Source organism: Homo sapiens, chromosome 2 (assembly GCF_000001405.40).
Source record: "Homo sapiens chromosome 2, GRCh38.p14 Primary Assembly".
NCBI lineage: Eukaryota > Metazoa > Chordata > Mammalia > Primates > Hominidae > Homo > Homo sapiens.
In genome coordinates, this window is record NC_000002.12 from 96,350,744 (window position 1) to 96,377,432 (window position 26,689).

Below are 26,689 nucleotides of genomic sequence, written 5' to 3' on the forward strand. Positions count from 1 at the left end.
GGGGACCAGGGAAGAGCCAGGGAGGCACATCTGTGTTGTCCTATCCAAGCCCCTCTCTCTCCATAGTAGCCACGTTCTGAGGCATCAGGAAGACCTGTGAACCCCATACCCAACCGTATCTCCTGTCTCAAGGTCACCTGCAGAGTCCCAGGGGGCTTCTAGCCTCTTGCTGCACATGTGTGTGATTCACCCTGTCCCTGTTCTTATGCCCAGTGCCTGTTTTTGCCTTTGGGCTTGGTGTCATATGGCCATGCCATTCCTGCTCCTGACCCAGCCTTAGGGACCTTCTTAAAACCTCTCTCAGGTTTCACCCAGCCAGCTAGCCCTACTGACTCTGTCCTTTGCCTGGATATCTTGGGTATGTTCTTCCAAACTTTAGAAGATATTTCTGTTCAGAGGAACAATAGAGCCCTGTGACTAGCCCTATCATACAGGCTTTTTAAGCCAATGGCATTTGTTAGTGACTTATAGAAGGAGACCAGCAGCAAGGATACACGTCCAGATGTATTATAAAAAAGCCATTTGACACAGTGTACACTTGCCACCACATACTGTCTTCTGGAGCAGTATATGTTTATCTCCTGACTATAACCAGCCTTTCTTTTGAACCGGGATTTTATCTGCTCAATTAGAAAGCCACTTTTGTTGGGTGCGGTGGTTCACAACTGTAGTCCCAGTACTTTGGGAGGCCAAGGTGGGTGGATCACTTAAGGTCAGGAGTTCAAGACCAGCCTGGCTAATATGATGAAACCCCGTCTCTACTAAAAATACAAAAATTAGCCAGATGTAGTGGTGCGTACCTGTAGTCCCACTACTCTGGAGGCTGAGGCCCAAGAATCGCTTGAGCCTGGGAGGCAGAGGTTGCAGTGAGCCAATATCATGCCACTGCACTCCAGCCTGGGCGGCAGAGCAAGACTCCATCTCAAAAAAAAAAAAAAAAAACAAAAACAAACCACTTTTGACCATGAGTGGAGATATTTCAGTCCAGTGTATATACCTGCTAATGAGTGGGGCCAAATGCATGAGAATTTATCTTTCCCTTGGCTACATGCCGTAAATCTTCAGTTTCTTCTCTCTCTGTGTTCAGATTGATCCCATGTTTCAGAAGACAGCAGCCTCATTTGATGAGTGCAGCACAGCAGGGGTGTTTCTGTCCACTCTCCACTGCCAGGACTACAGAAGTGAACTGCTGTTTCCCTCTGATGTCCAGACTCTCTCCACGGGAGAACCTCTCGAGTTGCCAGAGTTAGGTTGTGTAGAAATGACAGATTTAAAAGGTAAGTACAAGTGATGCCTTTCACCAGAGCATTTCAGTCATTGGGGAATTTTTTTACATAACCATGGGGTACAATAAGCCCATCATGCTCTTATGTTGCTTAAATTACCCAGAAGTTTCCTCTGGAATGCCAAATTGTGTATCCTTTTGGGAGTGCCTTGCAACCCACTAACTTTTGTCTTCTCTGCGGCGTGGAGTCTAAAACGGTAAACCATCGCCTCTTGGTCTTGATGTGCCCGGTACCTTAGGTGCCCACTGTTTGCAGTCAGCTCTCCAAGTCACATTTGGGAGACCTGGGTTCCTCCTGGAGTGTCAGTTTGTTCTTGGGAAGGGGACTTAGAGAGACCTTTGCCTAGCCAGAGAGGCTTTGTTTTTATTTGCTCCCCATCCAGGGGGCCCTGAGGAGAAGAGAGCGTTGTGAATTGTTTTGAGACTCCTCTGCAGCAGTCTAAGAACTGATCTCTCCTATTATCAGTCCCCTATACTGGCTTGACAGAGATTTTAGCATCCCTCCCATATACGCCTCCACGCCTGAGTTGGGGGTTCTCCTTGGGATGTTGTAATGAGGTGCCAGCAGGTAGGGAGGCCAGGTGCGTGCAGTGCAGTAGCTACACTTGGGGTCCCAGAAGAGCTGCCCCCTCCTGCACATTTCCAATGCAGTGTTCGTACTCTCGCTGATCTTCATCTCAAGTGCGGTCATTTTTATGTGTTGAATGAAATTAATACTTCCCCTCCAGGCTGGGCAGTTGTTAGCTCCCATTCTTGTCATTTCTATTCTTGCCTCAATTTTGTTTAGTATAGTTTTTGTGCTAACGATCTATTTTCCAAGTTTGTGCTCTCATTTGGGGCTCTAATCCCCTGAAGTAAGTCTTCTCTAGTTTGGGACTAAAAATAAGTTAAAGTACCATTACATGATTGCCTATGTACTTGGTGTATTTTTAAGACGAAGCGTTTGATTTCCCAGCTATAGCATAGGTCACAGAATTCATTTCAGAATCGAATGTCTGTGCTTTAGGTTTCTCCTCTAGTATTTTACTAATTTGTGCGATGACAGTGCATAGCCTCACTCCAGCGTGGGTGTGGCCGACGCATCTGCTCGCTCCCAGAAGAGGCAGGGACACAGACTGGCAGCTAGCCAGCCACTGATGATACTTGAGCCTTTGCTGGAGGACAGTGAGGTAACTGTGCCTCTCATCTCTCGTCCCACTCAGTATCATTCTGAAGGGAGTAAGGAATGCACTTGACCCCCTTCTAATCTCTCTTTGTGATCTTGCTATCCTCTCCAGCGCCCTTGCAGCAGTGTGCAGAAGATCGCCAGATCTGCCCTTCCCTGGCCGGGTTCCAGTTTACACAGTGGGACAGTGAAACACATAATGAGGTGTGGTCAAGTTTTAGTGGCTCATGGTTTCAGTTAGTTGGCTCAAGAGTGGTCCTGCCCAATGGGAACCAAAACTGTGGCATCATCTTTATTTAGCCAGGAGTACAGAAAATATTTCCTTTGGCACTTCTGTAGGGACAAAAACCCTGAGGGAGGAGGGTAGGGTTGTGAACCCCAGCAGGACTATTCTAGAGGTAAGTGAGTTCCAGGATCAGCTTTATGTCCTCTCTTCTGCTATCCTAGGGTAAGGCGGCCCTGGCATTAATCAGTGAACATTTATAATTAGATTTACTCTTGAATGTGGTTATCCCAGTGGCCTCGAATCTCTTAGGCTGCCGTCAAGCTTGAGGAATTTCCTGCTCTTTGGGGTTGAATCCCTTGGCACAGAGTTTCCTGAGAAATTGTCATGTGTAGAGCTTTCCTCTGTGTATTTTTAGCATGGCCCCCTTTAGCCTACTTACTACAATTTCCAAAATAAATGATCTCCATGGAAAACTGTTTTCTGCAAACATGTAGTTAATGGGTACAGAATCCTGTTTCATGTTTTACAAAATGTGCCTGACAACAATGCAGCTTCCTCCTGTGCTGCACAATATAAACTTCCCCCTCACTGTACTATCGTGAGAGTCTTGGCCCAGGCAGGCAGGGGATGGGAAAGGGAAGGGTGGCTCAGGGGAAGGAGGAGGCTGGAAACTGAAATTTAAGGGTGAGAAGGCTGTCCCTCCAGTGGTGATTTGGGGTGGTTATAGGAATGAGAATTACAGAACCCTCTTTTGTCCCTCCAGTCTGTGTCGGCCCTGGTAGACAAGTTTAAGAAGAATGACCAGGTATTTGACATCAATGCTGAAGTTGACGAGAGTGACTGTGGAGACTTCCCCGATGGGTCCCTGGGGGATGACTTTGATGCCAACGATGAACCTGACCACACCGCAGTTGGGGATCATGAAGAGTTCAGGAGCTGGAAGGAGCCCTGCCAGGTTCAGAGCTGCCAGTAAGGCTCTCAGAGTCCGAAAGTGTTTCTATAGGAGTTTTCCATTGGTTCTTTTTTCTTTTTCTTTTTTTTCTAATTAAAAAATTTTTCTTTCTTTTTTTTTCCCCCCCCAAAAATAGAGACGGGCATCTCACTGCATTGCCCAGGCTGGTCTTGAACTCTTGGGGCTCAAGCAATCCTCCTGCTTTGGCCTCCCAAGGTGCCAGGATTTCAGGTGTGAGCCACCATGCCTGGGCACTATCAGTTCTTAACAGATTTCCTGCTGGGGTGATTGAATTTGATGTCTGATTGGCTGGGCTGGTGTGCTGTGTCATACACATCAGCTGAGCTTTTCAGCTGAGCCTTTCTGACTCAGAGGAATCACACCTGGCTTTGAATGTCGGCTTAGCCACTTTGGTTATAAAACTGACATTGCAAGAGTTTGTAAGGATTAGAACAATGTAAAGCGTTTGGAACAAAGCACCTGGGATCTAGTAATTACGTCAATGTGGCTGTTGTTACCACGTGCATTTTGGTAGCAGAGAGCATGCTCCCTTTGTACACATTGCTTATAGTGTGGCTGTTGGTGACTCTAAGCCACCAATTTACCACCTGAAAGGTAAGCAAGTGGGGGTTAGGCAGTGTTGGGTTACCAGATGGGCAGACTGGGGACGAGCAAGGCAGGGAAAACAAAACCAACCAATAAATTGAGAATATTTGGAGGAGAAGAAGAAGAATTGGTTTAGTAATTAAATTTTTGATTACCCTAGTAAACATCATAAAAATAATCAGAACTTGGTTGGCCTTTATGTACTTAATAGGTTAGTATTGTTTTAATTCTAAATATGATTTGGAAGCAGGGTCTCACAACACTTTAATGTCATGGTCCTGTAAAGGTCTTCAATGGGCCTGGGGGTAGGAGATTTCATGAGATTAGAGTGAACAGTCCCTCTGTTAACTCCTATGTCTGTAACAGAGCTTTGCAGAACTGGGATTGGGGACAGCCAAGCTGGTTTTGAGTAAAACCTTAGAAGTTGCTTAGTATAATTTCCCGCTATGACAAAAATCTCTTCAAGACCCTGCTCGGATGTCTTTCCTAAGCTCATTTTGTCTGCCCTTGTGGGAAACGATTAGGCTGATAATGTCTTTTAAAGACATTATCAAGGCGCCACTGCCCATCCAGGCTCAGTAGCACCCTGCTCTCCGGAATTGTACTGTTCACATGGCTGCAATTTTGCCCCATTCTCATCGTGTCTTTTTTGTTTTTATGTTTTTTTGTTTTTTTTTTTTTTGAGACAGAGTCTCGGTCTGTCGCCCAGGCTGGAGTGCAGCAGCGCGATCTCTGCTCACTGCAAGCTCTGCCTCCCGGGTTCACACCATTCTCCTGCCTTAGCCTCCCGAGTAGCTGGGACTACAGGCGCCCGCCACCATGCCTGACTAATTTTTTTATTAGAGACGGGGTTTCACCATGTTAGCCAGGATGGTCTCGATCTCCTGACCTCATGATCCTCCCACCTCGGCCTCCCAAAGTGCTGGGATTACAGGCGTGAGCCACTGCGCCTGGCCATCCTGTCTTCTAAGAAGGGAGAAATGATAGGTTGATGGGATGAACTCTTAAAAACATCATTTTCAAATGTCAGAGAAAAGCTATCACTTTCCTTAAACAGTGAGGTGACATCTGAGGGACTGACAATAACAAAGGGCTTCCATGACTTTTATTTGGTTTCTGGAAGATGTTTTCTGCTGGTTATTTTGAACAAATGTCTCCACTTCTCTCCCCTATTCCAAACAGCACAAAATCTTAGACTCTATCCTACCTAGTACATTAGGCGTGGGAGGCTGCAGTTCTAGTCTCAGATTTTACCCATCCTTAAATCCCCTCCCCTTGCCACATCGCTGGCCTTTCCTGGGAATTCAGTGAGTGTTTGATCTGGAGTAGATCTGATCTTGCCGTTACTAGCCCTGAGATGTGGGGCAATGTTATCACCTTTTGCGGTCTTTGTTTTCTCATCCATAAAATGCAAGGTTGGGACCAGTTGATAATAACAATATCTGATATTTATTGAGCTCCTTATTCTTTGTGCAAGATGCTGCGCCAGGTGCCTTATGTGTGTTATTTCACATAATTTACATAATATCTAAAATTAATTATTTTATTGCAGCAACCCTATAATTAGGTCCTATTATCCTCATTTTACAGATGAGGAAACAGGCTCAGAGAGTTTAATGGGGTGGAGCTGGTTGCCACCCAGCACCTTTGACCAGTCCTGGCCACATATAGTGAGCTTTGGATGGCAGGCTCCAGTCCACACCACCTGAGCATCTCAGTGGGTAGAGGGGGCCAGACATCACGTTACCATCCCCGGGTGATTGTGTTCTGCACCCAGGGCTGAAAACCACTGTACTCTACTGAGAGGTCTTCGGAGGCCTCTGGATGAAGGTGGGGTGGGGCAATGCTGAGTGATAAATACCAGTGTTGTGTAGATGCCTCACGTTATTGGTCTCTGCATGGCAGCACATTGACAACTGCAAGCGTAAAAGGTGGAGCTCTTTGTGCACATGCATTGGTAAGGACTGGTCTGCAAAAGTGCTTGATGTCTAAGAGTGAGCTCCCTCTCTGTGCAGCAGCAACAGCAGCCCAAGAACACTTGGAGCCAAGTGTTCTCTGGCCGACCCTTCTGTAGTACCAGCATGCTTACATAAGGCAGTTACTGTGGTTAATGACCTAGTCGGAGGTCAAAGCCCAGAACACAGCCTACTTCACGCATGCGAGAATGAAACATTCGGCTGCATGCTGCCTGATGTGCTGAGCCAGCTGGGAGGAGACCTTATCTTGCCAGTGTTAGGACAGTGGATTGAACCATGGCTAAATTGAAGGAGGGACCCTGTGATATTATGGGGAGGGGATAGAAGAAATACAGAGTTTTCCTGGAGGGACTGGAGATGTTTGAAGTGGGCAGCCTTGAAAAATGGATAGACTATTTTGGACTATAGGTGGATTCATTTAGTTGTTGAGTGGTGAAATTGGGACTGGTAGGATGCCTGCGACATAGCATTGTATGTTGAAAGAATTATTGAATTACTACAGTTCAAAAATCCTGCAGAGCCTCTGTCCAGCTCCATCACCAGAATTGGGAATGGGAGCCACTCTTCCTAATGGAAGAATATCCATCAGAATGGAGTGGGGATGCTGTTGAAACTTCTTCCTTCTACCTCTGGAGTTCACAGCACAGTGCATTTGTTACTTAATAACATGCTAGGTATCAGATTCTGTTACAGCACTAGGCCATACAGACTAGAAATGTGATTTTTTTATTGTGTATTTTATTTTTTTAAATTAGGTTTTAATTACACAATAAATGCACAAATGTAGTCTCCTGTTTTTGTTTTTTAAAATTCTGTATGTAAAGACAAAATCCCCTTTTAAAAGCCTTTTTAGCTTATTCCATATGGCTTATATAAACGGGAACTATATGTAGGCTCAATACAAATACAAGGCCACTCTTCTGAAACTTCTTGGTTACCTTACCTTCAGAGGGCAGTACAGCAGCACCAGCGTCCTTTCTGACATGTTGGAGCCCTTTAGGAGAAAGCTTGTACCTTGTGGAAAGAGTGAAAAATGGCTGGGCACGGTATAATCCTGACACGCCTGTAATCCTAGCACTTTGGGAGGCTGAGGCAGGAGGATTGCTTGAGGCTAGGAGTTCAAGACCAACCTGACCAACATAGTGAGACCCCATCTCTATTTTTTAAAAATGTAGAAAGAGTGAAAAACCAAACTGAAACTGCCATGCTGCACTGACCACTTAGACACTTTACACACGGCAAAGAATAAAGCTGGATGACCTAACAGATTATAAGGGGAGCCCCCAAAGCGTTAGAGGAACTAAATAATTAGACAAACATGTTTTTTCACTTTTAGTAGGAACTATAGCGGTATCTTTTGGAGCCCTCATTTACAGAAGGATGGTGACGAATGAGGGATTTGTCATCTTGTGTGGCAAGAAGCATGTGTGTGGAAAGACCCCGAGGCTGGGATTAAGGGACTTGTGTCCAGCTCCCAGCTCCGGCATTTTACTAGCTGTAGATTCTTACCCAAAGGAATTCTCTTTTTTTTTTGAGACGGAGTCTCACTCTGTCACCCAGGCTGGAGTGCAGTGGCGCGATCTCGGCTCACTGCAAGCTCCACCTCCTGGGTTCACGCCATTCTCCTGCCTCAGCCTCCGGAGTAGCTGGGACTACAGGCGCCCGCCACCACGCCCGGCTAATTTTTTGTATTTTTAGTAGAGACGGCGTTTCACTGTGTTAGCCAGGGTGGTCTCGATCTCCTGACCTTGTGATCCGCCCGCCTTGGCCTCCCAAAGTGCTGGGATTACAAGCGTGAGCCACCGCGCCCAGCCAAAAGAATTCTCTTTACTTTTGTCATCTTGTCTCTCAAATTAGGTAGACTAGCATTTTATGGTGCACTTTGAAACTTCCAGAGTACTTGTATAGATATGATTATATTGTTATAAAATTAAGGGAAGGAAAAGTACTTGAGAAGTAAAAGGAATTATTAATAATGAAGTTATTTGTATTGGACTCACAGAAATGCAGCTCATTTGCGGACATATGCTTCATATGTAAATACAGCATTATAATATATGTATTGTACATGTACAAATATGTGTGTTACAGGGAAGAAATGATTTCCCTTGGGGATGGAGACATCAGGACCATGTGCCCCCTTCTGTCTATGAAACCTGGAGAATATTCTTATTTCAGTCCTCGGACCATGTCGATGTGGGCTGGCCCGGATCACTGGCGCTTTAGGCCTCGACGCAAACGTATGTAATTCTAGGTGGAATTTTAAGAAAAGAAGTAGTGTAGATGACCAGCCAGTCAGCAGTTAGCCAAGGAAAAGAAATGCCAGTCACAGCCCTGTTGTGTCTCTTAATAAGCCGAGGAAGCATACAGATGAGCCAGCCTCCTGGTTGGTCAGTTTGCCTGGCCTGGGATGAAGGGACAGTGAAAATGGAAGCCTCTGAGTGAGGAGAGTGAGTACTGGAGTCAGGAGAACTGGACTCCCAGCCTCACACTGCTCCCTAGTATCCACATGACTTCACTCAGTGGTCACGGGTGGGCATGACCCCCGGGCACTAGAGGGCACACAGGAGCTACTGCACATGTTGGCATTCTGTAGAACTCCAAAGGGCTGTGCTGACCTTATGTGTTTTGCATTGTCTCTTTGAAAGAAAGGGATAAGCATCTGTTGTTTTATGTTTTGTTTTGCTTTTGAGACAGGGTCTCACACTGTCACCCAGGCTGAAGTGCAGTGGTGAATCATGGCTTACTGCAGCCTTGACCTCCTGGGCTTAAGCGTCCTCCCACCTCAGCCTTCTGAATAGCTGGGACTGCAAGGGCATGCCAGCATGCTCAGTTAATTTTTAAATTTTCCATAGTGATGGGATCCCGCTTTGTTGCCTAGGCTGGTCTCGACTCCTGGCCTCAAGTGATCCTCCTGCCTTAGCCTCCCAAAGTGTTGGGATTACAGGCATGAGCCACTGCACCTGGCCAAGCATATGTTTCTGATGTGTTTTCTTAGCCAAAACACAAATTATAAGTTTAGGATGAAAAGAGGGTGTGTGATTGAGCACTCCTACTGTTGTGATGCTCAGACACAATGCTGCCTTGTGGTTTTGATAAGCCTTGATAAGGCTGTCAGCAGATCTTGTGAAATGAGTAAATAGTTTAGGCCACAGAAGTGAAGTGCTGACGTCTGTGTTCACTCTGCAGAAGATGCTCCTTCCCAATCAGAAAACAAAAAGAAGAGTACAAAAAAAGATTTTGAAATTGACTTTGAAGATGATATTGACTTTGATGTATATTTTAGAAAAACAAAGGTTTGTACTGAATTTATTAGGATTGTGCTTACTCGTTTTTCCCTTTCAGATGTGATTTTTTAAAATTCCGTATAAATTTAACTGTTAGAGCAAACAGATGGTTTCATTCTTCCTTGTTCCTTAAACGCACTATTAAGAAATAGTCCTAAACTCAGTGGCAGAAAGAATCAAATTTAGAATAAAAAGAATAATGCTAGCAAAATCACTTTTTTACATAGAACTGTGAGACTGATGGTAGACTCATGCTGCCCAAACCCTTCCCAGACTGCTTTAAAAAAAGTAAGATGTTTTGCCCACTGTTAAAATGCCTAAAACACTTTTTTTAAAAAAATTAATAGGCTGCTACTATTCTGACCAAGTCCACTTTGGAGAACCAGAATTGGAGAGCTACCACCCTTCCTACAGATTTCAACTACAATGTTGACACTCTGGTCCAGCTTCACCTCAAACCAGGCACCAGGGTAAGCCTATTTCTTGGTTCCTTTAAGCACACAAGGTATCAAGTGGCTGATAGTATGACAGTTAGGCAGTGCCTTTGAGGAAAAGGGAGAATGTGAGGAGTGGTATGTGTTAGCCAAAGCGTGTTGCCAGGAAATCAAATAGATAAGGCAAAGAAAGCTAAAAGGAAAGGCTTATATGATGGACACACAGTAAACACTTGGAAATACCTTACCTGGCAAGAATGCTGGATACTGAAGCCTCCATGCTGAAATTCAGGGGGGCAGTGAGTGTAGTTTTTTGGTGAAGTTTCAACAGTTTTTAAGTTATTTCTTGATTCCTTTGCTTTCTCCTTTTTTTTTTTTTTTTTTTTTTTTTTGACAGAGTTTCGCTCTTGTTGCCCTAGGCTGGAGTGCAATGGTGCAGTCTTGGCTCACTGCAACCTCTCCCTCCTGGGTTCAAGCAATTCTCCTGCCTCAGCCTCCCAAGTAACTGGGATTACAGGTGCCTGCCACCATACCCAGTGAATTTTTTGTAGTTTTAACAGGGACAGGGTTTCACTATGTTGGCCAGGCTAGTCTCGAACTCCTGACCTCAGGCGATCCACCCACCTCAGCCTCCCAAAGTGCCAGGATTATAGGTGTGAGCCACTGTGCCCACCTGATTCCTTGGCTTTCTCATTGAAGTTGTGGATTTACTCACCAATTGCTTTATACAGTGAGGTTGCCTTACTCATGATCCAAGTCGAAGCGAGCCCAAGGTGACACACGGGCTCACATCCTCAGGAAGTCTCCTAGGGCTCTACAGGCTGCTGGGGCTCCTTCTGAGATTGTCACATGGAGCCTTCTGAATTACCTGGTGTTGCACCCTGATTACTGCCTCCTTCATTTGCCTGGGGCTCTTCTCACATGTCCCTGCTGACAGGGTAAGCAGTGGTTCGTGTAAACCATTCCATTCACATCCTCTGCTTACTTGCATTACTGGTTCTCCTACTCTCATGGAGTGTATTAAGACTTTATACTTTCCTCTTTATTTTGCCTGTTTTTCCACAAGATTTTAATGATATATATATATATATATACATATATATATATACACATATATATGTATATATATGTGTATATATATATATATATATATATTTTTTTTTTTTTTTCCCTGAATTGACTGATATTACACATTCTATTTGTTTTTTTGTATTTTTTTTTAGAGACAGGGTCTTGCTCTGTTGCCCAGGCCATAGTCCAGTGGTGTAATTGGAGCTCATTGTAACTTTGAACTCCTGGATTCAAGCAGTCATCCTGCCTCAGCCTCCCAAAGTACAGGGATTACAGGCGTGAGCCGTTACACCTGGCCTCACATTCTGTTTTTATAAACTAACCAAGATATGTTTTTCTTTCTGATCAATATTGTTTACTTCAATAGAAATACTCTTTTTTTTTCAGTCCTAGCTACTTGGGGGCCTGAGGCTATAGTAAGCTATGATCATGCCAGTGCACTCCAGCCTGGGGGACAAAGTGAGGCCTCATCTCAGAAAAGCAAAACAAAAAAAAAATTGTGATTCATGAGAGGGGGTCAAAATATCAACATTAACAGGAGTTTGGAAGAAGTTGATTCTGACTCTTATGGATGATTTTGAGGGGTTCAAGACTTCAGTGGAGGCCAGTCACGATGGCTCACGCCTGTAATCCTAGCACTTTGGGAGGCCGAGGTGGGTGGATCGCTTGAGGCTAGGAGTTTGAGACCAGCCTGAGCAACATGGCGAAACCCCGTCTCTACTAAAAATACAAAAATTAGCCAGACATGGTAGTGCAGGCCTATAGTCCTGGCTACTCAGGAGGGTGAGGCACGAGAATCACTGGAACCCAAGAGGTGGAGGTTGCAGTGAACTGAGATTACAGTACACTGCACTCCAGCCTGGGTGACAGAGCAAGACTCTGTCTCAAAAAGACTTCAGTGGAGGAAGTCATTGCAGATGTGGTATGCAGATGTGGTAGAAATAGCAAGAGAACCAGAATGAGAAATGGAGCCTGATGATGTGACTACATTGGTACAATATCCTGATAAAACTTGAATGGATGAGAAGTTGTTTCCTATGGATGAGCAAAGAACATTTTCTTGAGATGGAATTTACTCCTGGTGAAGATGCTGTGAACATTGTTGAAATGATAAAAAAAAAAGATTTAGAATGTTACATAGTCTTAGTTGATATAGCAGTGGCAGTGTTTGAAAAGATTGACTTTGAATTTGAAAGAAGCTCCGCTATGGATAAAATGCTATCAAACAGCATTGTATGCTTCAGAGAAATCTTTAGTGACAGGAAGAGTTGATTGATGTAGCAAACTTCATTGTTGTCTTATTTTAAGAAATTGTCGCAGCCACCCCATCCTTCAGCAACCACCACCCACCCTGACAGTCAGTAGCCATCAACATTGAGGCAAGACCCTTTAACAGCAAAAATATTACAACTCACTGAAGGCTGATATGATCATTATAATTTTTTAGCAATGAAATATTTTTAATTAAGGTATGTAAATTGTTTTTTAGACATATACTGTTGCACACTTAATAGACTCCAGCATAGTATAAGCATAACTTTTAAATTTGTGTGACTGGAAGTGCCTGTATTAAACACTGGACATTTGGCTAGGGACACCTGAGAGTGTGCCCAGAGGAGAGTATTCTAAATGAAGATGCAGTTAGAAGTTGTGTCATATGAAGAACAGTGGAAGAAAATGGGGCGTTTCTTAATTCAAGTATTTATTGTTTAGTAGTAGTTTTGGATTTGTTACAAGCACATTGTGGGTTTATTTGAGTTGTTTTTGAGGCACAGAATTATATTAAAATATTCAGTGTGCTCTTGTAAACTGTGCACATCTCCAGTCACATTTCTCCTACTTCAGAGATTTATATATCAAGTAGAAATCACTGGTCTAAGGAAGGACCTGCAAATATTTGAAAGACTGTGATCCATAGGCACTCGTAAAAGAGGAGCCTCATTCCACGAGGCTCTGGAATACAGAATGAGGATGATGGATGTAATTAGAGGGAAGAGCTGGATGTCTCTCCTTGTTGCCATGTAGGGAACAGTGGTTTCCATTCAGGAATGAGACAGGCTGTTAATTAAGGTAATGGGTTTTCCTTTTTTTTTTTAAAGACAGGGTCTCAGGCTGGAGTGCAGTGGTATGAGTATGGCTCAGTGCAGCCTCAACCCCTGGGCTCAAATGATCCTCCTGCCTCAGCCTCCTGAGTAGCTGAGACCACAGGCACACAGCACCATGCCATCTTTTTTTGTAGAGATGGGGTCTCACTGTGTTGCCCAACGCTAGTCTCAAAATTCCTAGGCTCAAGCAGTTCTCCCACCTCAGCCTCTCAAAATGCTGGGATTACAGGTGTGAGTCACCGTGCCTGGCTGGTAATGGGTTTTCTGTCAAAATTGTTCAAGTGCAACAAGGTGACTTTCAGAAAGCTGGAGGGTAGATTTTCCAACTTTTGTTTTTAGTGAAGGAACCCTTTTTCAGGTAAAACTGTGCAGAAGGCCTAATTGCCAGTCACACAGAAATAGAGCTGCTCTGGTTTATTTGGGATTGGTAGAGATGCTGAGCCCTGCTACTCCAGGTTTGCACTGTATAGTGGAAAAGTCTGTTAGACTTAGATGACTTGTGAGGGCCCTTCTGACTCTAAAATTGTATAATTCTAGGAGGAGATTGGGCATAGGAATTAAGATTTACTTCTCTAACCTAGTTCAGTAGCTTTTAACAAAATAGCTTTCTGCATTTATTCTTTCCTTTAGTTACTTAAGATGGCCCAGGGCCATAGGGTAGAGACTGAGCATTATGAAGAAATTGAAGACTATGATTACAACAACCCTAACGACACCTCCAACTTTTGCCCTGGATTACAGGTAAAGGGGGGAAAGGGGCTCTGTCCTCTCTTCTAAGCCAGGGAGTCGTTTTTCTCTGCTTCTCATGTCCCCATTTTATATGGTGGGAGACTGTTGGCAATTTTGAATCCAGTGGAGGTTTTCTGGGTAAAGGGTCTGCCTTCCACCCAGTGCAGGGAGCTGAGCAGAGTCAAGGAAACAGCCTCACCTTGGCCTGCCTTACCTCACATCCTACATGCAGGAAGCAAATGGCCACACTCAAGTGAATGCGTCGACATGTGGATGGGTGTTTAGCCTCTGCTACAAAGTACTAATCTTGGCTGTTGTGGGATTTCAAAGGAATATAAACACTTTGTCCTCTTATGAGCTAATATTTTGGCCAGGTAGACAACCAGATCACACCATATGTGATCTGGTGTGGCAAAAAATAAGTCTTCGGGGTGTATCTCAGATGACCAGATTTCTAGCTGTGAATGCAGTTCTCATATTGCAAGCTTGCTGTGAACTTGTACAAGCCACCCCCCATCTTTAGATCACGGTTTAGACTAAATAATTTCCATATCCCTTCTCTGAGTCTACTGATGAGATGGCTAATACAGGTAACAGAAACTGGAAAAATAGGCTTCATCTGTGTCCCTGTATGTGGAAAGGGGGGAACGAACTGGAAAAAAATGTATTCACCTTATTTTCTTACTTAGGAAGAGAGTTAGGCTGTTATATTTTAGTGAAAATCCAGACTGACCTCTTGACTAGTGCTTCTCAAACTTTAACTTACATACAAATCACCCAGGGAGCCTATTTAAGGACTGATTCCTGACCTGTGTCCCCCCACCCCACCCCCTGCCCGAAGATACTGATACATTCACTCTGGATGTGATCGCAAAAATGACTTTCTCACCTGCTTCTGGGTGGTATGCCTGCTACTGACCAGATGGCCCCAGGAATCTCCTGTGCTTTCCTTGGGTGATATGTTCAGGTCATATCTCCGGTATTTGAGGAATGTTTCTGTAAAATGAAATCCTAAATTTGTTAGAAGCTGAAGGGGGGACATAGTGGCAATTATGGTTATCGAATTCCTTTTAACTCCCGCTCAAAAGGTCTTAGGTTGATAACAGACACCTCTCTAATAGGGTTTACGTGAAACAGGATGATAACTAGAGGCACCTAGAAGTTCATCGTAGTGTAACTCACTGAGTGAACCATCAGATGGTCTCTTCTTGCTTTGTAAACATGGAGTCTATTTCAAGGGTGTTTCTGAGCTCCTCTGCAGCGTCCACCAAACTCGAAGAGCTGTTTCTTGCCCAGGCTGCTGACAGTGATGATGAAGATTTGGATGACTTATTTGTGGGACCTGTTGGGAACTCTGACCTCTCACCTTATCCTTGCCATCCACCTAAGACAGCACAACAGAATGGTGACACTCCAGAAGCCCAAGGATTAGACATCACAACATATGGGGAGTCAAACTTGGTAGCTGAGCCTCAGAAGGTACGGATGAAACAGCTGAGAATTACATTGTTTGCCTGAAATCTATTTAATTGTCTCTTATATGAGAGTCACGCAATCTGAGCTTGATTTCTTTTCTTCTCAGTTTTAACCTGTTGCTCTCCAAGTTTTAAATAGGGTTGTGGGAGTGAGCTGATGCTAATTAGGTTTGTGTGGAACTGACCATCTCTCCAAAGACCTTGATAAGACATGTAACTAGGGAGGAACTGGTCACCCAAATAAGGCATATGAATGAAGGCTGCAGGCAGAGAATATAAATTTATATGCTAATTCAGCAAGGCTAGCTAGCTAGCTGTGTGGCTCTGAAAAATCTTGGCCAAATTCAGTTTGTATTAAATTATCATGTATTAAACATTTATCTCTTCCATACCAGGTGGCAGGCTTTATGCTTGCCTTTATATTTGATTCATTTATCTCTTTTACACTGGAATTCCAGTTAGCCTTAATGTAGATTGCACTGGATTGAAAAGAAATTAGATTTGATATGAGGGACTCTATATAGTGTCCAAAGAGAGCTCTGGGCTGGGCGTGGTGGCTCACGCCTGTAATCCCAGCACTTTGGGAGGCCAAGGCGGGCAGATCACGATGTCAGGAGTTCGAGACCAGCCCGGCCAACATGGTGAAACCCCGTCTTTAATAAAAATACAAAAATTAGCTGGGCATGGTGGCAGGTGCCTGTAATCCCAGCTATTCTAGAGGCTGAGGCAGGAGAGTCATTTGAACCCAGGAGGCAGAGGTTGCAGTAAGCTGAGATCATGCTATTGCACTTCAGCCTGGGCAACAGGTCGAGACTCCGTCTCAAAAAAAAAAAAAAAAAAAAAAAAGAGTTTGAGACCGCGTGGCCAAAATGGTGAAATACCATCTCTACTAAAAATACAAAAATTAGCCAGGTGCCTGTAATCCCAGCTCCATGGGAGGCTGAGGCTGGAGAATCGCTTGAACCCAGGAGGCGGAGGTTGCAGTGAGCTGAGATTGCACCATTGCCATCCAGCCTGGGTGACAAGAGTGAAACTCTGTCTCAAAACAAACAAACAAACAAACAAAACAAGAGAGCTCTGTAGCTCCTTGGTTGAAACTGGATTCCTTCTTTAGTTGAACTCCAGACCTTTGTTTTTACAGTGAATTATGGTAAAAGTTTCTTTATTCTGCTTAGTTTTACTTTGTCATATACCTATTTCAGGTAAATAAAATTGAAATTCACTATGCCAAGACTGCCAAAAAGATGGACATGAAGAAACTGAAGCAGAGCATGTGGAGTCTGCTGACAGCGCTCTCCGGAAAGGAGGCAGATGCAGAGGTCAGATGCTCTTGCCTGTTCTCTAGGTGCCCAGCATGCGGGAGGGGAGTGGTTGATGTCTACAGCTGAAGACACCTCGATTTGGGCAATGCCTCCAATACAGAAATGTTCGTTCAAAAATACAAGGAGCTGGGCATGGTGGCTCACACGTGTAATCCCAGCATTTTGGGAGGCTGAAGTGGAAGGATCACTTGAGCCCAGGAGTTTGAGGTTACAGTGAGCTATGATATGATCGTACCACTACACTCCAGTCTGGGCAACAGAGAGAGATCCTGTATCTTGAAAAAGAAAACAAAAATAAAAGGAAGACTTCATGCTTCTAAGAGAGAAGTGAACCAAGTATACAAGTAGGCAGGTCACACAGACTGTGATACAAATAGCAAACTAGTGTGTAAGACGTGATTCAGCCTTGCTGGTAATCAAAAAAGACAAATGAAACAATCTTGATGCTACTTTAAAACAGCAGCAGTTTTAGTAATTAAACTGTTTTCCATTACTGAGGAGGAAAATTTGGAGTACTTATTCACTGCTGGTAGCAATTTAAGTTGCTCTATGCTATGAAATGTTTAAACCTTTTGATCTAATAATTCTGATTTCAGGAATGTATTCTCAGTAGGAAGATAGTGGAAAAGTAATTATTATACTGTCAGATTCTACTTCTTCAGAACAAGCTGAAACCTTGATTAACTTGGTCCACCTCAATGAAAGGAAGTCTCAGTTAATTAGAATCCTTCTCTCTTTCTGACTTCTGCTCAGATAATATTCTGAGTTTAGACCTTCTGTAGCTGAGAAATGAAAACTCATAAGTTGATTGAGGGCCCTGAGCTGGGTATCAGAGAAAGCTCTTCAGTCATATTTATAAAGTTTTATCAACTAGAACAGAATGGGATGCAAGTGTGTGTCTTTGTCTTAAGTGGAAAGTTTGAGTTTACTTTTAAATATGAATTTTGTGCTGCCCTTAGCAGTGTAGTCCAGTTGGAGCTATAAATAATCATGGCTTTGGCTGGGCACAGTGGCTCATGTCTGTAATCCCAGCACTTTGGGAGGCCGAGGTGGGTGGATCATGAGGTCAGGTGTTCAAGACAAGCCTGGCCAACATGGTGAAACCCCATCTCTACTAAAAAATACAAAAAATTAGCTGGGCGTGGTGGCGGGCACCTGTAATCCCAGCTACTCGGGAGGCTGAGGCAGGAGAATTGCCTGAACCCGGGAGGTGGAGCTTGCAGTGAGCCAAGATTGTGCCACTGCACTCCAGCCTGGCGACAGAGCGAGACTCCGTCTCAAAAAAAAAACAAACAAACATGGCTTTTTATTACTGCTTTTTTTTCTTGTTTGTTTTCAGGGCACCCTAGGACACTCTTTGCAGTGTGTCCTTTACCAGGGTGATGCTGGCTGTTGACATCCATGTTTACCACAATGTCATTAGAGCAGAGCTGAGGCACTGGTTCTCTTTGTAGATCCTTTTTCTTCAAAATAACTAAGAAATTTGTTTTCATTTTGTTTAGGTATAGACTTTTTGGTGACACAACTTTATTTTTGTTGCCCTTTCAAAAGTGCACTAGCCCTAACTGTCCGATGTATAAATGTGCTTCTGTTAGGCAAACCACAGGGAAGCTGGAAAAGAAGCGGCCCTGGCAGAAGTGGCTGACGAGAAGATGCTTAGCGGGCTCACGAAGGACCTGCAGAGGAGGTGCGGGCTGGCAGGCATGGGGGCTTTGTTGGGGCTCACCTCTCTGAGCTGTCCGCGTGGCAGGCCTTCCACACACAACCTGTTTCCTATGACATTTATAGTGGCTGTTCTGTTTTCTCTCTGTGTTGACAGATAATACAGACCAACTTTTAAAAAGGCGTTTTTCTGTGTCAGTGATCAGAGTGTAACAGGAGATATTTTATCTCAAATAAGAAACTAGAAAAATCTGCTTATAAAATGCATCTGAAAGATTTGTTTCTCATTAGTTTAGTCATTGCATGTGTGTATTATTCATACTTGATGAACGAGCTTTTGTTCTAACAGTTGGCAGTGACCTAAATACTTGCCCCTTTCTTTCCAGCCTGCCCCCTGTCATGGCTCAGAACCTCTCCATACCTCTGGCTTTTGCCTGTCTCCTACATTTAGCCAATGAAAAGGTAGGTAATTAAGGTAAGCATGGGAGTATTAGAGTATTCCCTGTTTATGTCAACTCATTTAGCTTTGTATTTGATCTTTCATGGGCTAACATAGGATTTCTTAAATACAGTGACTTATGTAGCACCTTCAACCCAAATGATTAGCCAGGCATCTAGAAGTAACTTAGGAAAAAGCCATCAGGTTTGATTAGCAATGAAAATAGCACAGAGGACCCAAATAGTAAGATTTTAGATGATGGAATTGTGATCGGTAAGTTCCCCAGCCTAAGAACACGAGGTGCTTTTACTTCACGGGGTGTCAAAGACTTTAAAGGCCAAAGCCTAGTAGTACCAAAGTCAAGACATATGGGAGACATGGCAGAGAGAAGAGGAGAGAAATGAGGATGAAAAGAAAACAGTTGCAGAAAGAGAAGAGTACTAAAATATGGAGGTAACAGTCAGAAAAGTCAAGCTGTGTGTCACAAGGAAGGAGAATCCTGAAGTGCCAGCTGGGTCAGCGTGGCAGACTCCTGTGCTAGGCCAGCCAACAGCTGCATAGCCATGGGACAGCTGTGGAAAGAGCAGAGGAGGGCACTCATTTTCTCAGGAGCCGAGTGGTACTACCCAGGGATACCACAGAGAGGGCAGCCAGCAGCAAGCCCACACATTTGAGCATCACTGAACACTTGGTATCCATTAGGGTCCCCAGCCAGCTGATGCACAGCCCAGCCTTTGGCACGTGCAGTAGAGGGCTATGGGCTGGGCCATGGCGTGTGCGGCAAGCACCACCCTGGGGCTGGGGCACCATGGCCATGGTGTGCACCAACACTGTCAACTCCCCAGGAGGAGGGGGTGGGCACTGGAGTGCAGTTACTATGTGAACGCCGAAATGTGGTTTTGGAGGGTGATTATGGGAATGGAATGGTAGCAAAAATGGGGTGCTGGTGGAAGCATCCAGGATTTCCTACATGCCAACATGTGACCTCTGGCCTCCTAATGAAATCAGGAGCAGTGAGGATTGGCTCCATTTTCCAGGTCTGACTCTGCTTTGGAGAGAAGTTGCCCTGGCCTGTGTGGCACAGCCATCAGCCAATCCCAGTGACCTACCACTGGAAGTCAGAGACCAATTTTTCTCTTGTCAATACCTTGCTTAGCTGACAACCTCATGAAGAAGAAGAAACTGTCCAGTTAGCAGAAGCTAGTTTTGATTCTGGGTGGGGAGCAGGTGTAGAAGAGCCACTGGGCCAGGACCAAGTGCTGTATGTCTCCAACTACTGTGCTGACCATTGGGCTTGTAACCACCAGTCTGGGTGTTCAAACCTGAGGCCTAAGTTGAAGAGCCCAGTGTAGTTCCCAAGAAGGAATGATTGTGCATCAGAGCCCTTGGGAATGGTTTTAACCCAGGAATGCTGAACTTGCATGGCTGCTGTTGGGGGGCAGTAAGGCGGTGACCGGTGACTGCGGAGAGAGGACATGCCCTGTTCACAAGCCTGTGAAGGCAGACATGCCCGTGGTTATGGGAGGTGGTAGTTCCTATACCTGACACATCCTAAAGCATCTGATATCACATGCAAACTATATGAAGAATGACTAAGAAAATAAAAAATAAATTATTATCATTGTTCTGACAAGAAATCTACAAGTGGCTCTGCTGAGGATATACCATCTGAGGTGGGTGGTGTGCAGGCCATCCATCTCTCTGACTTGAGAAGTGTCGGGGGAGGCCTGGAATCTCATTCGCACACCATCCTGGTGGAAATAGGTGCTGGTGACTCTCCAACATGGGTGCTGGTCTCCTAGCACATCAGGCTCCTAGGCTGGCCTCCAAAGCTCAGAAACCCTTCTGAGTCCAATTTAAGAGTGTTACTGCTTTCGCTCATCAGCCCCAGCCTGAAGGTCAGAGTGCTTCTCTGGGTGGTGTGTCTCCACAGAAACCTGACTTGAGAGAGCGGCTTCATGGCCCTCACTTGTTTCTTAAGGAGTCAGGCCAGGCCAACACTGCTAAGAAATATTAGTGACTCTGCGGCTTCACTGAGGTCGTGCTGCTCCGACTCCAGCTCTGCACCCCTGCTCTCAGTGGCAGTGCAGGCATGTTCATTTTGCTGTGATCAAGTCTCTTTTTAAGGGTCCCAGAGCTCTTGGTGTTTGAAGAATGGTGGGTGGCTACAGCCCATGACTTGTTGGGCTGAGCACCGAGGCCATTACTGGGGCCTGGCTTTGGGCTGTTTGAGAAAACTGGGCTTGTAACATTAGCCACAACAGTTACTGTTATAATCTACAGGGATCTGTGATAACTCAACACTTAGAGCCACCAAGAGAAATATTCTCAACGCTTCACAGCAGAACTTGACCTCCTCTTGGACTTCTTTCTCTCCATCTTTCACTCCCGTCTGGAGTCTGTTCCTCCACCACTGTGATAACAGTCTCCCCTCACATAGCCAGGCAGTGTGTGGGGCTTAGGAGCCAGTGATGGACGTGAGGCCCTCTGCCTTCATGTCTCTGCATGTTAGCAGTGTGCAACTACCAGAACCTGAGCTGCAGAAAACCCGCGAGGTGTGACTTGAGCGTTCTGTCTTTAGTGGCAAGGAAAGGTGCGAGTGACTGTTGAGCCCTGGCACATCCCATCTGCCTCCAGTGCAGAGCCAGGGCAGGCTGGTTGTGGTGAAGTTCGTCAGGAAAGGTCTCATAGCTGCTTAGTCCTGAGGGAAACACTGCCTGGGGTTGGGGAAGAGCTGGGAGGTAGGTAGGGAAAGGCCTGTGCAGAGACTGGCAGGAGGTCACTGCTGTCAGGAACTAATGGAGAGATGGGGCAGTGGGGTAGTTGAGGGGTGCCTGGAGGAGGTGCGCGTGGATGGGGTTAATACAGTAGTCCCCTAGTTTCCATGGATGGGGCATTGGGGCAGTTGGGGGTGCCTGGAGGAGGCATGCATGGTTGGGGTTAATATAGTAGCCCCCTGTTTCCACAATTTCACTTTCCATGGTTTCAGTTACCCACAGTCACCCATGGTCTGAAAATACTAAGTGGAAATCCAGAAATAAACAGTTCATAAGTTTTAAGTTGCAACTCTTCTGAGTAGTGTGATGAAATGTCACCATGTCCCGCTCCATCCTGCCCCGGATCTGAACCGTCCCTGTGTCCAACAGATCCACACTGCAGACGTGGCTCTCCCATTAGTCACTTGGTAGCCATCTCAGTTCCCAGGTCAACTGTTGGTGGTACTGCAGTGCTTGTGTTCCATTCCCTCTTATTTGACTTAATTTTTCTATTTTATTATTAGTTATTGTTAATCTCTTACTGTGCCTAATTTGTAAATTAAACTTGATCATAAGTATGTATGTATAGGAAAAAACAAGGTATATTTGTGTATACATATATATAAAAATCATATATGTGTATTTGATTTGGTACTATATGAGTTCAGGCATCCACCGGGGGCCTTGGAACACCCCTCGAGGATAAGGGGGGACGACTGACTATATGTATGTGTTGTGGCTCCTCATGACCTCCCATCTGCCTCCATTAGCATCTTCAGGGCAGACGGCTCAGCTCTTAGGCCCTTTATAGGGGGTGGGTTGCAGGAATCAGAGCCAGAGAAGGCTTGCTTTTTGCTTTTTCACCTAAGTCATTTTGTTATAACAAGGATTGGGAATCAGGTTTTTCATGCAAATTATACTTGCTATGAAACAGTTTTTCTTATAATCATGGGACAAACTTTCTTCTTTGTAGTCACTACCTTGTGACTGTGATTGGAATTTATGATTCTTTTATTCTCCGTATACCAAAGTCCATGCATGTTTTGGTCTTCCCTCAGAATCTAAAACTGGAAGGAACAGAGGACCTCTCTGATGTTCTTGTGAGGCAAGGAGATTGAGTTCACTATGGAGAAGTCAGCAGCAGGAGGCCCATCCCTTACTCAGTTGCCGGGACATCCCCAGTCTCGGGGGAAGAAGATGCCATGGGCTTATACCCAGGCTGTAGCCAACTACCAACGTGCCTGTTTGTTTGTTGCTCTTTCCTTCTCTCCATCATAGTCTGGGTGCCAGCGCCCTGAAGCTCCGTGCTCAACTGATTAAACTTTACTGCCCTATGGTGACCATCTAGGAGAGGGGAGGGCAGAGGGGGTGAGGGTACTATTCTGGATTGAGAAAACCTATATCCATTCTTTATATCAATGTATAGTTTTAGTCTCCTAAATTGATCTGTTATTTTCCAAACTATTCTCTTGTAGAAAATTTTCCAGTGGGCACTTAATGGTGCCCTTGAAGAACTTCCTAATCCATGTACATAAAATACATCATATGTACACTTATAAATGTATATAGAATGCTCAAAAATAAAATTCTTAATAATAGAACTGGCAAAATATTTGAGTGTCCACTAGATGAGTATCAGACCTAGTCCTTACCCTTAGGGGGATGCAGTCCTGGTTGTTATCCAGGATACACACCTGTCAGTATAAGGCAGAAGATGCCTAAGGGCCAAGATGGTTTGCCTCGGAGGAGAATGGAAGAGAGAGATTGCTGACTGGACATTCAGATGCAAGACTGGGTCCTGCTTAAATCCCAGGATTCTGCTGGAGGGAGCTGATAGTGATACTTGTCCCTTCTGTACATTGCTTCATGTAGCCTTCTCAGCATCCCTAGGAGAAACTTACTATTGTGACTCTCATGTTGGAGGAGGAAACGGACACCCAAGGTAGAGGAACTTGCAAAAGGGCAGCCGGCAAACTGTCAGGGGTGGCCTGAGCCTGGCAATCTGCCTCCAGAGTCTGCTCTCGGCCATTGTGCTATGTGCTACCTGGATAGGTCATACAGGCTCAGCAGTGGGTGGAGAGCAGTGCTCAGATTTGTCCATCTCCACAGAATGCAGCACACACACAAATGTACAAGTTCTTCCCCTAACCTCAGAGGAATAGGGGAATTAACTTTGCTTGCAATTTGGAACAATATTATAGATGTTGATCCAAGTAGTTCTGTTACTGGCTGGTCCTGGATCTCTGCCAGAACACCCGTCATCATTGACTGGCTAAATAGAGATCTTGGATATAGGCCAGAAGCAGTGAAGTATATAATTGGAAATTGCTCCTGATAATAACTTCCTTCTTAGCCAAAAACCACACAAAACAAAAATAATCCCCTCCCCACAGGAATATGCTTTCCAAATTGTGTCCAAAACATTACCTGCTCTGTTATATTGAGAAGGTTAGAGACTTCAGAGCATGCTTAGAAAAAGCAGTGGTGCCACAGGTGAGACTCCACACTCTGTCTTGCTGGGGCTGAAGCCTCCATCACTTTCCCAGGCCAGGTTAGTGCTGGGCTTCTTGCTTTCCTTCTATTCCTGAGAGTAGAACTGGCTAAGCCCATTCCTTCCCTCAGTCAGCCCCACTTCTCTATAGTGGGTTCTGGGGGTGGGGGGCTGAATTACCAGTAAAACTAGAAAGATTGGGACCAAGTGCAGTGGCCCACACCTGTAAATCCTAGCGCTTTGAAAGGAAGAGGCAGGAGGATTGCTTGAAGTCAGGAGTTCAAGACCAGCCTGGGCAAAATAGAACCCCATCTTTAAAAAAAAAGTTTAAAAATTAGCCAGGTACGGAGGTGTGTGCCTGTAATCCCAGCTACTCAGAAGGCTGAGGTGGGATAATCACTTGAGCCCAGGAGTTTGAGGCTGCAGTGAGCTGTGATCACACTACTGCATTCCAGCCAGGACAACAGAGTGAGATCCTATCTCTTAAACAAAAAAAAAAACTGGCGAGTTCAATACCAACTTCTACAATGAAATCCCCTTCCCCCCACAACCCTGCTTCTCCTAAGTTTCCCTCATTACATGGTTGCTGTGGGCTATGTGTGCTGTGGTCTGAATGTTTGTGTCTAAAATTCACATGTTGGTATTAAGAGATAGGGCCTTTGGGAGGTGATTAGGTTATGAGGGCAGATCCCTCGTGAATGGGATTAGTGCTCTTATAAAAGAGGCCTGAGGAAGCTTGTTCGTTCCTCTTGCCCTTCTGCCATGTAAGGATGCAATGAGAAGGCACCATCTGTGAGCAAGGAGCCCCTCACCAGACAGCAAATCTGCCGGCGTCTTGATCTTGGACTTCTCAGCCTCTAGAACTGTGAACAATAAATCTATTGTTTATAAATTAAGCAGTCTAAGTCATTTTGTTATAGCAGACAAATTGACTAAGACAGTGGGTATGCAAGATAAGTTTATTTTATATAAAATACTTTGGGAAGTAGGTGTTCTAGGACTGGTGTGACAGTTCCATGAAATTATGAGAGACCGGGGATCCTTCCAGCTCATCCTTCTGTTTCAGTGTGGCTGCTGGAATCCAGCCATCACATCCATAGTCTAAGCAGCAGGACGAAGGACTGGGGGAAAAGAGAACTGCTGCTCCCTGTTAAATCAGTTTCCTGGGGGTCGATATGAATATTTGCCACCTCAGGGTGCCACAAAGGTCCCCACCAGCAAGAAGGCTCCCACCAGATATGGACTCAACCTGGGACTTTTCAGCCTCCATAACTGTAATAAATTCCTTTGTCAGTTACCCAGTTTCAGGTATTCTGTTATAGGTAACAGAAAACAAACTAATACAAGTGGTAATGTGTCCAGCTAAAAATTTGGGTTCTGTTAAGGTTAAAAGAAAATTTGAGGTAGCCAGCAGTATCTGCCTCAGATGCTGAGAAGCCTCCTGAGATAAGAGCGTATACCATGTCCATAACTGAAGTTTTAACATTCTCTGCCAAACAGAACCAGAATTTAAGGGCAGGAGAATTTGCAAGATAGAATTTGCAATTTGCAAGAGGGAATTGCAATTTGCAAGAGAGGGGCAATTTGCAATTTGCAAGAGAGGGCAATTTGCAAGAGAGAATTGTGGGGCCCTGAGAGAGAATACATCCAAAGGAAGAGGGAACCAGGCATTACAAATTGAATTGAACAAGGACAGATATCTGAAGGGGGTTTGTAGTTCCCAGTAAAGTATGGTACAGCTAGGTGCACTTCCCTGGCCAGACCACCCTACAGTGTATGATCCCCCTGGGGAGCAAAAGGCTGCAGGTAACACTTTGGTGCCCTAGAAATTCTGCTGTGGTGCAACTATAGTGGATCACAGGCAGAGTGGGGCATTGTTCCCCTTCTTAGCACAGGATACTGGGTCATTTCAACACCACAAGGATTTGCAGCATCTGCGGCAACGAGTTTGGTGTCCTGGAGCAAGGAAAGGAACCGTTCATGGTGGCTGAAGCCAAGCTGCTCAGCACTGAGGCAGCAAGCCATGATCTAGGTCTTCGAGTAGAATTCTCAGTTTTGGTTCATTTAAAAATGTTTTTTGGGGGAATTGGGGATCATTTATGGGTACCAAAAGAAAAAAAAATGAATAAGATCTACTATTTGATAGCACAATAGGGTGACTATAGTCAATAATAACAATTGTATATTTTAAAATAAAGAATGTAATTGAAAAGAGTAAATGCCTGAGGGGATGGATACCCCATTCTCTGTGATGTGCTTATTTCACATTGCATGCCTGTATCAAAATATCTCATGTACCCCATAAATATATGCACCTACTATGTACCCACAACTATTTAAAAAATAATAAAATTTTAAAAAATTGTCTTTATGTTGCCTTTTTTTTTTTTTTTTTTTTGAGACGGAGTCTCGCTGTGTCGCCCAGGCTGGAGTGCAGTGGTGCAGTCTTGGCTCACTGCAAGCTCTGCCTCCCGGGTTCACGCCATTTTCCTGCATCAGCCTCCCGAGTAGCTGGGACTACAGGCGCCTGCCACCATGCCCGGCTAATTTTTTTGTATTTTTAGTAGAGACAGGGTTTCACTGTGTTAGCCAGGATGGTCTCGATCTCCTGACCTCATGATCTGCCCGCCTTGGCCTCCCAAAGTGCTGGGATTACAGGCTGCCTTCATTTTTGAAGGACAGCTTTACTGGATGTAGAATGCTTGGTT

At 44.8% G+C, this 26,689-nt stretch overlaps 1 protein-coding gene across 8 annotated transcripts in view; it reads left to right on the plus strand.

Moving 5' to 3' along the window:
• NCAPH (non-SMC condensin I complex subunit H) overlaps window positions 1–26,348 on the plus strand; it is a 41,326-nt gene extending 14,978 nt beyond the window's left edge. For 4 of the 8 annotated variants that reach the window (NM_015341.5, NM_001281710.2, NM_001281711.2 and 1 more), the window contains 12 exons: window positions 1,088–1,277; window positions 2,563–2,654; window positions 3,440–3,645; window positions 8,302–8,450; window positions 9,400–9,506; window positions 9,845–9,967; window positions 13,738–13,848; window positions 15,133–15,315; window positions 16,514–16,630; window positions 18,229–18,320; window positions 18,682–18,757; window positions 22,549–26,348. In NM_015341.5, coding sequence (NP_056156.2) covers window positions 1,088–1,277; window positions 2,563–2,654; window positions 3,440–3,645; window positions 8,302–8,450; window positions 9,400–9,506; window positions 9,845–9,967; window positions 13,738–13,848; window positions 15,133–15,315; window positions 16,514–16,630; window positions 18,229–18,320; window positions 18,682–18,757; window positions 22,549–22,608 — 1,506 coding nt within the window. In that variant the 3' untranslated portion in view covers window positions 22,609–26,348. Of the gene's footprint in view, window positions 1–1,087; window positions 1,278–2,562; window positions 2,655–3,439; window positions 3,646–8,301; window positions 8,451–9,399; window positions 9,507–9,844; window positions 9,968–13,737; window positions 13,849–15,132; window positions 15,316–16,513; window positions 16,631–18,228; window positions 18,321–18,681; window positions 18,771–22,548 lie in introns of all 8 variants that reach the window. The other 4 variants (XM_006712388.5, XM_047443836.1, XM_047443837.1 and 1 more) reach the window with 2 other exon arrangements.
• The last annotated feature ends 341 nt before the right edge of the window (window positions 26,349–26,689 follow it).